We start from the raw sequence: 16,731 nt of genomic DNA, 5'->3' as shown, positions 1-16,731 counted from the left end.
GGGGTCCTCACATCCCGCAAACATACTTAGTCTCTGGAGGGGCTAGCACTAACATCCCCGGTTAAAGTGTCCCCCACAGGAGTGTTATAAATGGTATTTGATCTGTCAGAATCAGTCACAGCTCCAACAGCTCTCAGCAAATGAATACAAGTTGGTCTGACCCTGCTTCCTGTTTCCAACTAAAGCAAACCGAAGACCTGAAGAGGCCTCACAGGCAAGAGTATTTTGCACCCGCTCCTAGTGAAAAGACTCTTTTCTGCCTGGTCTTTTTTCCCAGACATCCCAAGGAGCTGTCCTGCTCTTATTTGAAATTCAAACCAGAAGGAAGTCACCTCCGCAAATGCCAAGTGTCCAGCCTCCACTTCCATGATGATTCAGCACCACCTAGGGGCCATTGTCATTCATTTCTTGCCAGGCTCATTTCTTGCCATATTCATTTATTGCCACAATAGAATTCCTTTTTAAGTATTGCAGCTGCACCCGCCACCGCCCCCTCGCCACTGCCATCCACATAAGAAAAGTACAGAAGCTTCTCTACACACATTTTTCAAGACTCGGTTCCAGATCTACTTCAGCTGGAAACTCTGGTCCACTAGCTTAGCACACAAGGATCACTGCTGAGGAGTGTGGTTCACATTTACAATACACCACGGGGACTTCGCTTTATTATTATAAGAACTGCTATAAGCATCTACTACATGACAAGGCATATATAGTTATTTCTAATGTATACAATAGTCCTTCAAATTGGGTAGTAATCCATTTTACAGATGAAGAAACTAAGGCTCTGAGAAGTTAAGCAATTTATCCAGATCCCAAACCAGGGTTGACTTACTCTTTTCACTGTAAAACGCTGTCTCTCTAATCTTACTGTGCGTAGAGCCAACATGGCAGTGAGGGTGCTCATTTTAATGATTCTAAAGCAGAACATTCAAATAAATCTTGTCCTTCAAAGAAGTCACTTTGAAGCCTATTCTGTCATGCCAATAGCTAATGCTCATAACAATTGAGTCTCTGCTATAGGAACTGCCTTCAGAGCTATTTGTGAGCTGCACGACCTAATCTCATTACCTTAAAGTATGTTATATGTTTGAAAAAAATATGGTAGATACCATTGGAGGACTGAAGGATGTGCCATCCCAAAATTTGTATGTTGATTATTTCTAATGGAAAACAATGGAGAAATTCTAGTTTCAGAAAGGAAGAGCTGATCTATATCTTCCTGTATGGAGCAAGGGATAAAGAATCCTCTGGGACGGATACTCTTCGAAGGCCCTGAGATTTATCCATACCAGGATGAGAAAATAGCCCTTATCACCAGAGACTTGGAGGCTGCAAGGAACCCGAATAAACAAACTTACGAACAAAATAACCTTTATCTTCCACTTGCTTTACACCCCCTCATATATCTCCTGTGACTCCCCTAGAAAATTTTACTGTCCTAGCCAGATTTTCTTTCTCCTGTTGTTTCTTCTCAAATTTATCATTCTTTGTCTAAAAAGTATAAGAATATCTTACTTTGGCCTCTTGTTCAGACTTCACTTTCTTGTGAAGATCCCCAAGTACATGTAAAACTAGTAAAATTTATACATTTTTCTCTTGTTAATCTGCCTGCTGTCAATTTAGCTTCTACATCCAGCTGACCAGCCCACTAAGAGCTAACAGAAGGGTTGAAGTTGATCTCTGGTTCCCCGGTACCATGCTGTTCAAGCAGTGTAATCTCCCAGGTCCCTCCTCAGTAAATTTCGATTCAGTATCACTGGGACAGGCCCAACAGTTTGTGGTTTTGTCAAGTACATGTGACTGTAATCACCAGGAAAGCTTGAGTAACACTGGTGCGATGATACAAGCATGAGCTCTGGGGTCAGAAGGACTTGGGTGCAGATCTGGCTCTGCCTTTTTTCTAGTTGTGCACCCCTAGGAAAGGCAATTAAGGCCTTGAGTATCAGTTTATTCATCTATAAAATGAATATTAGTAATCATTAATAACCACCAAACAGGGGTGTGAAGACTGAATGATATAATGGGTGTGAAATGCTAGCACAGTGCCTGGCACATAGTAGGCACTTAATACATGGTCATTACTATTGTTAACTTAATCACCCACTCAGCTTAATGAATTTGCCCTATGTGACTTTTTGTTATTTCTAAAAATTAAATCCACAGTGAAAGGATATGAGGATACATAAAATACACTATCATAACGTATATTATACTTCATTAAAAAGTAAACAACTAAAGATCCTTAGGAAAAGTGATAGATGATAGATAGCCAGATAGGTAAATTTTAGGATAGGAAAATGTTCTAGAAATGAAAAACCAAACATTTAAAACAGTTTAACACTCAGGAGAATAACAAGTTTCTAGAAATACACACACACACACACACACACACACACACACACACACACACACACACACTGATACAAAAGGTAGAAACAATCCAAGGGCCCATCTGCAGATAAACAAAATGTGGTATATACATACAATAGAATATAATTCCATCTTTTTAAAAGGAAGGAAATTCTTTTTTTTTTCTTTGAGACAGGGTATCATTCTTTCCCCAGGCTGGAGTGCAGGGGCATGATCATGGCTCACTGCAGGCTCAATCTCCTGGGCTCAAGCCTTTTTAATTTTCTTGTAGAGATGGGGGTCTTGCAATGTTACCCAGGCTGGTCTTCAACTCTCAGCCTCTCCATCTTAGCCTCCCAAAGTGCCCGGGCGAAAGAAATACTGCCACATGCCATGACACGGATGAGCCAGAAAACACTACGCTAAGTGAAAGAAGCCAGTCAGTAAAGAATAATACTGAGCAATTCCACTCTATAAGGTGTCTAGAGTAGTAAAATTCATAGAGACAGAAAGTAAATGGTGGTTGCCAGGCACTGGGGGAAAGGGGAAATGGGAGTTACTGTTTAATGTGTCAGTATTTCCGTTTTGCAAGTTGAAAAGATTCTGGAGCTGGAGGGTAGTGATTGTTATATAACAATGTGAATGTACTCACTGCCACTGAACTGTACATTTAAAAATGGTTAAGATGGTAAATATTATGTTGTGTATTTTATCACAATTTTAAAAAAAATTAAGAAAATCAAGATGATATCAAATCACAGTTAAATATGAGTTTCAGAAATAGCTTGTTCGGTTTGTGTTGCTACAAAGAGCCCCATGTGAGTGAAATACTTCTAAGTGTACAGATTACATCCTTTGGAAAAATGAGCAAGTAAATTCACAAGTAATTTTGCATCTGTATTCTCAAACAATGTGACCGCACTGCCTTAGTTGCCTGTTTTTCTTTCAAACTATTCATTTACAAGATCACTCAAGAAATGTTACTCAGCTAAGTGGGAGGCTATGACTGGAAAACCTGTTCTGCCTTAACCCTGGCCTGGGGGATGCTTTGAAAAATGGCTGTGGTGCATGGAGCACTCTAAGGAAAACACTGAGGGGTGTTATCATCCTGTCTTAAGGCACTGTGATCTGTGCAGAGCTCTGCCCTGGGGCAGCTGGGCAAAGAGCAGGTGCATCCAAGGCTTGGCCTGTGGCCTGGATGACGTGGAACCCCCGTTACAATAGCCTGCAACAGCACAGGAGTAGTGGCTGTCGGGGGAGCTTCATCTGAACCCAAGCTGGTGAACGGGGCTTTGCCCCTCTGTTTTATTTATCTTTAATTGATTTTCTTTAACACTAGGTTTTCTTCAGGCCTCACATTTAATAAGATGGAGTATTTTTCTGATGAGTGTAAGCAGCATCTGAGCACTTCAAAGGTTCTCGAATAGAATAGCATTGGCTCTTTGTCTAATTTAACTTAAAAGTTATGACGAGGTGAAAGCTCATTTATATATTTAATATATTTCATGTCTTTCTTATTTATTTATTTTTTGAGACAGAATCTCACTCTGTCGTCCAGGCTAGAGTGCAGTGGCATGATCTCGACTCACTGCAAGCTCCACCTCCCAGGTTCACACCATTCTCCTGCCTCAGCCTCCCAAGTAGCTGGGACAACAGGCACCCGCCACCACGCCCAGCTAATTTTTTGTATTTTTAGTAGAGACGGGGTTTCACCATGTTAGCCAGGATGGTCTTCATCTCCTGACCTCGTGATCCGCCCGCCTCGGCCTCCCAAAGTGCTGGGATTACAGGTGTAAGCCACCGTGCCCGGCCTATTCTGCATTTTTTAAGCAAGGAAGCAAGCAAGCAAGGAGGAGGGAAGGAGATGGATTGCCTGAAATAATTGGGTGAAAGTTTGATGCTATCTTCCCTTCCCTCTTTAGGATTATGTGGCCCCTGGTGTAAAGAGATTGCCTGAGAGGAGCCTGGCAGAACTGTAGTGAAAGCATGGGGAAGTGTGGTGAAAACTGGATGCAAGGAGAACAAATGGAAAATAAAGGCAGGTGTGTTGGTTTCTCCCTTCCTCTGCCTCAGAAGCTTTATTGCTGCCTAGAGAAACCTGCTCAGGGTGGGGTGACATGTAAAACCAGCCAGCAGTATACACAGGTGTTCCTAGTGGGTCTTAATAACATTAAGTGTCTGTAACCCTGAGTGAAATTCTTTTTAAATTCTTTTTTCTTTTTTGAGACATGGTTTCACTCTGATATCCAGGTTGGAGTGCGGTGGCACAATCTTGGCCCACTGCAGCTTCGACCTCCTAGGCTCAGGCGATCCTCCCACCCCAGCTTTCTGAGTAGTTGGGACCACAGGTGCATGCCACCACACCCAGTTAATTTTTCTATTTTTTGTACAGGTGGGGTTTTGCCATGTTGCCAGGCTGGTCTCAAACTCCTGGGCTCAAACGATCCTTCTGCCTTGGCTTCCCAAAGTGCTGGGATTACAGGTGTGAGCCACTGTGCCCGGCCCTGAGGGAAATTCTTTAAAAGCAAAATTCACAAACTTTTAAAGCAAAGTATCCAATTTTTATTGATTCTATAACATATATATGTGCATATATTGTAGTATCTTTATCAATCAGGATTTACTTGCTGATAACAGAAACCACTGCAACCTAGTTTAGACACAATGTGCTTTTGTTAGTTTCTGGCCATGCACAGAAGCCTCCTGCTTACAAGATGAATGGAAAGGCTGAAGGAGCAGCCTTTAGTCTGACTTCCAGGAATGACTCTCAGAACACTATCACATAACTGGCTGTCCAGAAGAGATGCTATCTCTGCTTACAGCCTGGAAGCTGGAAAGTCATGAAGATGCTGCCCATTGCTGGCTCCAGAGCCACATTATTTTAGCCACAATCCCCACCAGCAAAATGGATGCTCCTCGTCCTGCCACACCACACCCTGGGGTCTCTGTTATTGCTCTTCTAGAAAAATAAAATGCTCTGTGGCTGTTTGTTGGCAGAAACATTACCTCTATCTCATTTGGCCTTCCCAGTTTCAAGTAGGTACATCTGCATAGAGGAAGCTAAGTCACATTTGGAATTCAAGCTGAAAGGGGCTCTGGGAAATGTAGGCTTCAGCTTTTTTTGGATCCACCAGTGAGTCACGGCACACCTGTGTGCACAAATGGGTTACAAGTGTGTTAAGAGATAGCCATCTTGGACCGGGGGTGGTGGCTCACGCCTATAATCCCAGCACTTTGGAAGGCCAAAGGCGGGCAGATCGCAAGGTCAGGAGATCGAGACCATCCTGGCTAACATGGTGAAACCCTGTTTCTGCTAAAAATACAAAAATTAGCCGGGCATGGAGGTGGGCACCTGTAGTCCCAGCTACTCGGGAGGCTGAGGCAGGAGAATGGCTTGAACCCAGGAGGCGGAGCTTGCAGTGAGCTGAGATCACGCCACAGCACTCCAGCCTGGGCGACAGACCACGACTCCGTCTCAGGAAAAAAAAAGAGATAGCCATCTCCTGCCTTCTGGGCAGCCACTGCCCTCCTGGCCAGGAAGCTCCACACCTAGGTCTCCCTACAAGTCAGCGCAAAACAGGGTGGAGTCTGATGGTCCACCTCTCAGGCCCTGTGAATGAAGAGTATGAGAGAGATCTGTCCTTTGCTGCCTGGCTGTGATGTGCTGTGTGAAGACAAGGCTGTGCCACGTCCCTCGCCAGCTACCTAAGTGGCTTGCTGCTGAGTGAGCCACTGACCATCATAACTGCTGGGTAATTTCATGGAAAAGTGCAGTCAGTTGGGATTTGAGGAATGCCAGCTCCTCATAGGTAGTTCCAAGTAGATGCCCCAAATCTCTATCTTACAGAAACTTCTATTTGCTTAGAGATGTCCAAGCCAGTTGCAGGGTGACTACCCTCACAACACATGACATTCTATAAATTGGAATGTCATTGTTATTTGGAAATACTTGATATGAATAGTTCAATTGCATTTGAGGTCCATGTGTATTATCACAAAAAAAATACCATCACATTTTGTCAATGACAAGAAGAGTTGTTAGGCTATGTATATATGAAATTTTCAATTTTTGAATGTTTTTTAAAAGTTCTAAACTGTTTAATCAGCTTTGTGTAAAGAAAGTTTCTATTCAGTGGTAACTACTGAGAATTCGGAGAGCTGGTAAATGTCTCAATCAAGAATTGAGCTGGGCACAGTAGCCTGTACCTATAATCAGTCCTATCTACTTGAGAAGCTGAGGCAGGAGGATCCCTTGAGCCCAGGAGTTTGAAGCTAGCCTGGGTAACATAGCAGGGCCCCATCTTTAAAAATCTAAAAATTAAAATTAAAAAATAATAAAAAAGAATTGCATGTAGCTATTTCAAGAATACAATTTTATATCTTGTATCTAGAGCAAGATCAACCTTTTCATTAGGGATTCTGAAAAAAATATTTGGATATCTCACACAAAATGAGCATTTAATATATTTCCTAATTTTTTTCTATGTGTGCCATAGATCAGTGGTTGTTTAGGGGACAGAGAAAAAAGCAAAGACAGGAACCTTTTAGAGGTGATAGATATATTCATTATCTTGATTGTGGTTTCACAGATGTGTGTGTGTGTGTATGTACGTCAAAACTGACCTAACGGTACACTTTAAATATATGCAGTTTACTGTATGTCAATTATACTATAATAAAGCTATTTTTTAAATTATGGGAGAAGAAAACCCCACAAAGTACATTCCAGAAAGGTATTAATTTACAGTCTACCAACAGCTTATGCAAGTGCTTGCCTCATTATACCTTCATCAGCACTGTAATTCTTAAAAGAAAAAAAACTGCTAATTTGAAAGGCAAAACCATCTCTTCTGTTTCAATGTGCATGTCTTTACAAGTAGACTGAACTTTTTTCATGTTCATCAGCTCTTTGCCCATTTTTCTTTCATTGACACAAAGCAATGAAGAATGCTAACACTAGAATGCTAGTAAAAGAGGGATGCCTTTTTATCTGCCAGGTTAACTAGTACAAACTGAAAATTACTACCCTAAAAGGTGGTCATAAATATTCACAAATTTGTCAAATCCTTTGAAGAGGAGTCATAATTAGACACTCAAAACTGATGCACACTCAACATTTAAAGACAAAACCTTAGTTCCTTTAATAACAGAATATCTGCATCTTGTTCTGAAGCTTATAAGGTTAAATCACTTGGCCAAGTATACAAAACTAGAGGTTGTCCAATCTGGAACCAGAAGCCTGATCTCCTGGGACACAAGCTGAAGAGCAGGTGAGGATGAAATGATGTGGAACCAATGGCATAGCTGAGACTTCAGGAAAGGAAAATTCTTTGAGCCTTATCTTCCTCGTCCATAAAATGAGGGAAGTAACAATTAAATAATCACTAAATTTCCTTTCAGCTCTAACCTTTTCTAAATGCAAGCTGGATAAATTGATACAACCTGGCAGCTGTTGTCATATTGCTATAGTTTTTGTATTTTTTTTTTTTTTTTTTTTTTTTTTTTTTTGAGACAGAGTCTCGCTCTGTGGTCAGGCTGGAGTGCAGCAGGACCATCTTGGCTCACTGCAATCTCCACCTCCCGGGTTCAAGCGATTCCCCTGCCTCAGCCTCCCCAGTAGCTGGGATTATAGGCATGCACCACCATGCCCGGCTAATTTTTTGTATTTTAGTAGAGATGGGGTTTCACCGTGTTGGCCAGGATTGTCTTGACCTCCTGACCTCATGATCAGCCCACCTCGGCCTCCCAAGTGCTGGGATGACAAGCACGAGCCACCGTGCCCAGCCCAGTTTTTGTATTTTCTTATAAGCCTATGTTAGCTCACATTCAAACTCCAGCCCTCCCCTACTCTGTGTAGCCTTGGGCAAATACCTATCCTGATTTTAGAGATGAGGAAGTGAAGACACAGAGAGAATCATAATAGCAGCTACACCTCAAAGGGTTCAGATCATGAAAAGGCAGCACACAAATGAATACTTAGCAGTGCCCGGCACATACTAAGATGTCTAGTAATTGCATGTCTGTGTGCTTGGGGGCAGAATAACACCAACTTGCATGGAACCCATGCTGTAAGTTCCACAAGAGACCATGCCTATTCATCACTATATCCCCAGCGAGCCAAATACTAGGTAGACAGGCATATTGAACAAAATAGTTGAATTTGGACAAATATTTGAACAAAGAATGAACACACATAATCGAAAAAATAGTCCTCAGGTCTGATTCACAACACAATTCAGCTATATATTTAATTTAAAAGACTTCATGAAATTGTGGGAGGGGTAAGGGGGAAAAAAGAAAGAGAAAGGAAGGACCCCAACAACAGTAAGACTCCTTACCATCTACATCTCATCTGTGTTTCTCTTATTATAACCCATGAAATATCTCTACCTGCAGTGCTTATTACAAATACAAATACCATCCTCACTCATTTTCAACAGCTACCTCACTAATTCTTACACACTTGACAACTTTAGAACTTTGTCCAATTATTATTTGGCCAATGCTTGAAAATGATTTAAAGGCATAACCCCAAGTCTTAGAACAGCTTAGAGCAGGAGTATAAATATTCAGATTCCAAAGACAAGGACTACTACCCACATCAACCTGCCTGTGACACCTCACAACTAAGAAACCAGTTTTTAGTAGATCAAAGATGAAAAGGTGAAACGTACAGCTCACAAATCAAATATCTGGGCACTAGAGGGAATAGGTGTGGTTGGAAAAATAACCCTTCTGGAATTTTCTCAGCATATTTTTAAATGGCAGTAACAACATTTCTTCCACTCCTAAAATTAATTTTAATAGTGAACTGAGGTAACATTTTTTGTCTTAGCAGATAGCTCAATTCCATTGACAACTGACTTGTCATCTTTATTAATTTTTACAAATGCATGTCTCCTAATATGAAAAGGTTGATTTTCACTTTATTGTGTGCTTTGCACATTTACAGCAGCAACAGGAAGAGCTTCTACTGAATAGATTTTAGTCTTCAAAAATGTGACTGCATCTTCCATCTCTAGTTTGTCCATCTCCCAGTTATTGACCTTACCAAAGAAAGAGGAAAATAATCAGTTTGTGAGACGATACTAACAAAAGAGCTAGTTTAGAGATCCAAACATAGTAAAGTAACATGAGGACAATAGCTTTTTGAAAGCAAATGTGACCTTATAACTACTCATATTTTAAAGGCATAATAAGACTACATGCTAGGGTTTAAGAAAGCTTTAACTGTGAAAATTATACAAATTTTAAAGGTCCTCTAAATGGTGCAAAAACTGCTTTCTTGAGAAAATCTTCCTTAGAATATATATAATCAGCAATATAAAAAACAAAGTCTTAAATAGTAGCCCACTAAGAGAAAGGAGTCATCTTAATCTCAATAGTCCACACGTAATCCATTTCCAATACTAAAGTATAATAATAGAAGACTTGGAATGTTTACATCTTACATTATGCGCAGGACCAAATGAGTGGCATTTAGATAGATTCCAACAGCAACATATATATAAATGTATTTGTAAGGTTCCTACTACCTAGAAACATCAGAAGAGGCTGTTCAAGAGAAGCTGTGGGGTACAAAATAAAATTGAAGCATAAGAGGGAAGAGAAAGACCCATCTTCTTAAAACCATCCAGCCTTTTCTGGCAACAAACATCCTGTAACAGCTTCACACAGGCCATGAAAACAAAGCTTTAACATCTTTCCTTCCCTTGTTCAAGATAACCTGGAAATTAAATATGGTTTTGTGTATCTTAAATATGAAAATATATTATTTGCATTCTTCTTCTTAGCAAAAAAGGATTAAAGCTGACCAGAACAACATTTGTAAAAGCTCTAGTAATGACAGTAATCAGCTGAGCAGAACCCAAATCGTGTACTAGCAATGTTCTTTTTCAAAGAAAACAGTAACTAAAGCACTCATTCCAATAATGCTGACAATTCCTCTAGTCCTAGTAACCAGTCTCAACCACAAGATTCCTGGCAGCTGTTAGAATGTACATCAGTAATTAAAGAATATTTCATTTGCATTTTTTTCTCACCAAGATCACATGAAAACCCATTGCATTCAAATGCCGCATTTTCATAGCAAGGAATCCTCTGGGGTGGCTTGAACCCAAACAATAAGCAGATCTGGAAACACATAGCACAGCTACTCTGAAAACAAAAATAAACAAAACAAGAACAGTTATTGATATTACTATTTAGTCTTGCTGCATTCTTGTTCTCTGGAGATTTCCAAGTTGAGCTCTCCACCGACCACAATCCTTGATATTCCTGTCTTAGTCCTTCACTTCTTTTACTTGGCCTCTGCAGATATTCCACTATACAAGGCTACTTTATAAATCAAAAATATACAACATTATACACAGTTACCTCTCAGTTCCCTTTAAGGATGGCTACATTTTTGAAGAGGAAAATTTTCAGACATGAAAGCACCAATTTTAAGGGTTTTCTGTGTAGTGCTGATTTCTGATCTGAGTATAATTATTTATTCTACCAGTAGTAGTAACGGTGTAAATAATACCAAATAGTAAATGCTCTTCTTACACATATCATCTCCCAGAGAAAGCAGCATTTAAAAAACAGAAATAGGAGTTTAAATACAAGAAAGAAAACACCAAGAGAAAGGCAAGACTGTTAAAATAAAATCTGTAAATATAACGAAAATGTGGAAGGTGTAATTTGTTTTTTCATTGTTCCTGGCACTTTGGAAATACTAAGTTTACTGGGAGAAAAAAAGAAAAAAAAAAGACATTTATATCCTTACTGCCTTCACCTATACTCTGGCTGTTATAAGACAAATTTTATGTTTTTAAAGGAATGCTCACATTCTTCACTTCTCATGACTTTATGCTGAGAACAACTGTTATTTTATTATGCCAGAATAGCGGAGTACCCGAAAAAGAAAACTGATCTTGGAATGAGGTCAGAGAGAAAGCCTCTTCTGAGGGGAGATGGGTAGCACTAATAGGAAAGACAGCGGTTGAAAAGATGGCCAAGAAATAAGCTAGATGCATTCAGAAAGAGGTGAAAGTCACAGAACTGTGTGTGAATGAAGAGGGATGGGCAGATAAGAGCTTGGATCCCTACAGATTTTTTTGTATGTTTCTATCATATTTATGTGTGTGTGTGTGTCCAGTGGAGTTAACAGAAGATACAAGTTCCTTGGGGTCAGGATCCATGTAGCAGAGCTTTTACATAAAGGGTAACTGACCCACGGGTGTGTGCAATGATGGCATGATCTTATGCATCTACTGAAGAGGCAGGATGTTCTCTCATGGTATAGCATCATATTTCTCCCCAGAGACACTCTATTTGTAATGTGTGAGCCAAAGAAACAACTTAGGATTAGCTTCAATGTGCTCTAACCCATACAAATACAGTTTAATTAAAAAACTACGGTTTCTCTACCTCTGGAAAAGTCTTGGTGGTAGAGCAAAATATTTATTGGGTATTTGATTTTTGTAGAAGCCTCGAGTCTTTATTCTTTATGATCACTATTATATTATCTTGTCCAAAGTCTACACTGCATTGATAGTTTCAATTATATTAATATTGTTTTATTGAACTATAGCTTCAAAACCTAATTTTAAAAAAATGTCTGTCTCATTAAATGACCAATACTGTAGTCCATTGTATTCAACCATAACGTCCACATTTACACTTTCTAAGGAGTACATTGATGGATGACAAGTCTCTTGGTGTGCTGCAGGCTCCATACAAACATCAAGTCTTAGATTTACTACTGCTATTTAATATGAAGTCTTTTAGAATTAGGATTTTAATTCAGAAAGCCCAGCAAATGAAATATATGTAAGCAACCTTTGAATATCTGTAGCAGAAGTTGTATCCACATCAGAAAGTGGTAGCACTTGATTCCTGTTAGTGTCCATTCTGATTTCAAAATCTGAAAGGAAAGAATTGATATTAATTTTTCAAACATTCCTCCAAGTGACTTTCTTTTTCTTTTCTTTTCCTTTTTTTTTTTTTTTTTGAGATGTGGTCTCGCTCTGTCATCCAGGCTGGAGTGCAGTAGTGTGATCTCAGCTCACTGCAGCAACTTCCCAGGTTCAAGCAATCCTTTTACCCCACCCTGTTGAGTAGCTGGGACTACAGGGGCATGCCATCACGCCCATCTAAGTTTTGTATTTTTTTGGTAGAGACAGGATTTTACCATTTGGTCAGGCTGGTCTTGAACTCCTGAGCTCCAGTGATCCACCTGCCTCGGCCTCTCCACATGCTAGGATTACAGGCGTGTGCCACCGTGACCAGCCCCAAGTGATTTTCTGTTTCAAAATGTTTAATAGTACTACCAATAATGATAATAGCAGTAGCTAAAATATATTGAGAGCTAACCATGTGTCAGATACTAGTCTTGGGATTTTAGACACATAAAAATGTGTAGAATTTCATTTATTGGTCACAAGAATTTTATGAGGCAAGAATCAGGCCAGTTCCAGAGGCAATGCTGCACTACACTAAACTGCTGCCACAAATACCTATTTTTTTGGTCAGAAAAAAAGGAAAATAAATACAATAAAATGAAAGGAAATCATATAATGTCCCATACCAATATGATAATTGTGTGGCAAGTGCACATCCTTTGAGAAGTGTCCTTCACCTCCCAGAAGGCTGCTCAGCACCTCTGCCACCTTTGCATTTGTATGTGACGATGGCAGCTCCCGCGGCAGCTGTGGGAGTGACAAGGCTATGTCCCTCAGATAGACAGTATCATCAAGTTTTAGACAAGTATCCAAAGTATGCAGCTTGTAAGCATTCTTCATGTCATCTAAAAGATGAAAAAGAGAGTATATCATTAAGAAGAAATAAATGCAACATTAAAAAACTATATTAGTATATATTTAGTAATAGTTATAAAATAATAAATATATACATAAATGCACTTGTATTTCTAATTATCTCTTTCTTATCACAAGGACTCTCTCTTTGTCTCCCTGGTTTCCACAGGGTCTAAATCAAAGCCCTGCACTTGATAATGTTTTAAGGCTTCAAATATCTTTAGAGGTCATTTAGTCTAAACTCCTCAATTTATGGATAAGGAAATGCCCAGGAAAGTTAAAAAGCCTCGTAATTAAGGCAAAGTTGGAACTAGAATCCAGGTTTCCAAGGTTCAAGGCTGTTTCTCCATTATTACACTGCCTGAAAAACCAGCACGTGGTATTATTGACTGACTCTCTACAACTCAACTTTGGGATTTTATAACATTTATTTATTTATGTTTTAATTCTGAACTACTCTATTCTCAGACACATCGTCAAATTTTGTACATCTACCTGAATATTGCTTTGCCTTATTTAATACTAAAGACTAAAAGTCAACAGTTAATTTGGTTCCAAGAGTAAATGAACTAATTAATTTGGTGGCTATTTGGTTTCTTGATCTAACAGGTGTTCCCTCATCACAGGCCAGGAGTGACCAAGTGTTTACAGCTGCAAAAATTGACTTAGGTTGGCTTCAAATGTGATAAGTAAGGATTAGGAATTAAAACAGCTCTGATCAAAGCATAAAGAACAGCCTGAACAGTTAGCCTTTGTATAGAAGGATAGAGTATAAATAAAAGGAATAATGATGCATTCCTTATTTTTTTCTACATGTAGGACTTGTCATTAAAGAAGGGTCTGTAGGTTTGCTGCTTTGAAGCACTATCCTTTGACTTCACCATTATCAGCCCTTTCCACAGCAACACCTGCTCTGCAAATTTCAACTAACACTGCTCCAACTAAGACCCCATTCAGAGTCATATGGTAGCTAGTGGTAGTGCAGAATTGGTCACAATTGGTGACCAATTCTGCACTAACATCCTACCTGATGTCAGCAGCTCACTGATGATGTCTTTTTGCAGAAGCTGATTAAAAGGAGCCAGGGGAAAGTAATTCATCAAGCAAAATGAATATACTGCATCCAATAAGTTTTCAGAAGAAATAGTGTGAAGATAACCAGTCAGAGCACTAGCCATAACTTCCACGAACTGTCTGGGGAACAAAGAAAAGTCAGTTTCCCAACATATACAGAAGGCCAATATCTGTAACGATTCCAAAGAAAAGAGATAAGAAAATCAGCCTTGCAAGTAAGTATCCACACATCATTCTGGACAGTTGGTTATCTCATAATAAGTGTATACATTCAATAAATGTTGGCTATTGCTGTATGTCTTGCACGAGACAAACATTTTATAGACTTTAACTCATTTAACTCACACTAAAAAACTCCATGGGTATTACTATTATTCTCCTCATTTAAAAAAATGGGTAAACAGGCTTAGAGATTGAGTAACTTGTCTAAGAACACACAGACAAGGAAGTAGCAAAGGCAGTATTAGAACATAAGGTGTCAGGCTCCAGAACCTTTTCATAATTATGCTAGATTTTCTATAACGCCTGGACCACCACTACAGTTTTATAACCAACTAAAATTATCTAGTTATCAATACTATGGGTTAAAAGAACTGCAAGCCTAATCCTACCACCCACAGCTAATGGTACACAGTATAACGTGGTTAAGCACAAATGAAGACAGAAAAGATCAAAATCAGGGGCAGTCGCTTGCCCAGAGTGACACCACTAATAAATGGTAGATACCCTTTGAACACACGTCAATCTGATTCTCAGGGCATATGATACATATAGTTATATAAAAAAAGAAATACATGCAAAGTACTGTGATCTCGCAGAGGAAAGAAAATAAACAGAAGCTTTTGGGAGGAGAATTTGAATAAGTGGAAAAGATGGAATAAGGGAAGAAGATTTGAGCACAGCCCTGAAAGCACATGCTACTTGCCTGATAGTGAATAACTGGTGAGATGAAGGTACAGAGGAGTGTTTCTTAACAGCTGGGGCAAATATGCCTGGACACAAGCCCTTGTTAACAATGAGACTGAAATCAACTGAGAGGTCCATGGGTAGGGGAAGAAGTGTTGGGGAGGATGAAGGGCTGTGATAAGGCCAGGAAAACGATAGGAATTATGATGAAATGGGAGGAATATAACAGATCATATACGCAATAGCAAGGCAGCACGTCTGAAATTAGTACTGACTGCTTTTGGAACATGCAGTGGGATGCGGGGGCAGGGGATGGTGTGGACAAGGAAGTTGGGAGCCTGGGTAATGATCCCCCCTCTGGTCTTCTCTTGCCCCACTCCTCACCCTGTACCTCATGCTTCAGCAGCCCAAACTGTGTGCTGTTCCCTGCATGTGCTCTGCTGTTTCTTTCCTCCAGGTCTTGCATATAGAGGGCCTTTCACTTGGAATGTTCTTTCCTGCTTATCTTTCCATGGTAAAACCCCATCTCTCCATCTTTTAAGATCAGCTCAGATACCAACCCCTCCAGGCAACACTGCCTGATATCCCCTGACCCTCCTCTTCACCAGGCTGGCATCCTGATATATCCTTCCTCTATTTCCAAATATCCTAGATGATATGGTTTGGCTGTGTCCCCACCCAAATCTCATTTTGAATTGTAGCTCCTATAATTCCCTTGTGTTGTGAGGGACCCAGTGGTAGATAGCTGAATCATGGGGGTGGTTTCCCCCATACTCTTCTTGTGGTAGTCAATAAGTCTCACGAGATCTGATAGTTTTATAAGGGGAAACCCCTTTTGCTTGGCTGTCTCTCTTGTCTGCTGCCCTGTGAGATGTGCCTTTCATCTTCTGCCATGATTGTGGGGCCTCCCCAGCCATGTGGAACTGTGAGTCCATTAAACCTCTTTCTTTTGTAAAGTGCCCAGTCTCGGGTATGTCTTTATCAGCTGCGTGAAAACAGACTAATATGCTAGATCACTCGAATTTTCATGCTATATTTAACTGCCAATTTACATATCTACCTTACCCATTACACAGAATCCTCTGGCAAGAAGGACTGTCTTATTCATCTTTCTCCTAAGTGTCCAGGTGCTTGGCAAATGCTGACTAAACGAACAAATAAACTTTGATGAGGAAGACAGGAGGACGAGCTTGTCATTGGAAAACGATGAGTCAAGAAAAATAGCTGACTTCCAGAATTACTGAACTTGAGACACTTCTGGGATGTGCAGTGACCATATGCAACCCACAGAGACTCAGGTCTGGAGTTAAGGAGCACACTAATGACCACAGATGCAAATGTGGGATTATCCATAAGGTGGTAAATACAGATCAAGAAGAGAAGAAACCAAAGGACCAAAACAACAGAGCTTAAACGTTACATATTTGTTCCTTGGGTTCAAAGCCCAGCAAGATACTCTGGATTTAACACCCTCTCCCCGATGGGCCATCATAAATGAAATAATGATTAATGTATAGCATGTGGGTATACAATAAGCCAGAATTCCTACCACTCTCCTATCTAACCATCTCTTCTAGTCAACTCTCTTCCCAAATAC

At 40.0% G+C, this 16,731-nt stretch overlaps 1 protein-coding gene across 3 annotated transcripts in view; it reads right to left on the bottom strand.

Moving 5' to 3' along the window:
- The window catches only part of FASTKD2 (FAST kinase domains 2), a 30,584-nt gene continuing 18,744 nt past the window's right edge, over positions 4,892 to 16,731 (bottom strand). For all 3 annotated transcript variants that reach the window (NM_001136194.2, NM_001136193.2, NM_014929.4), the window contains exons 8-12: positions 14,182 to 14,348; positions 12,926 to 13,144; positions 12,178 to 12,262; positions 10,395 to 10,509; positions 4,892 to 9,398 (exon numbers count right to left, since the gene is read on the bottom strand). In NM_001136194.2, coding sequence (NP_001129666.1) covers positions 9,279 to 9,398; positions 10,395 to 10,509; positions 12,178 to 12,262; positions 12,926 to 13,144; positions 14,182 to 14,348 — 706 coding nt within the window. In that variant the 3' untranslated portion in view covers positions 4,892 to 9,278. The remainder of the gene's footprint in view (positions 9,399 to 10,394; positions 10,510 to 12,177; positions 12,263 to 12,925; positions 13,145 to 14,181; positions 14,349 to 16,731) is intronic.

The sequence above is a fragment of the Homo sapiens genome, chromosome 2, assembly GCF_000001405.40.
Source record: "Homo sapiens chromosome 2, GRCh38.p14 Primary Assembly".
Lineage (NCBI taxonomy): Eukaryota > Metazoa > Chordata > Mammalia > Primates > Hominidae > Homo > Homo sapiens.
Note: the sequence above shows the minus strand (reverse complement) of the source record. Positions and strands in the feature narration are given on the sequence as shown.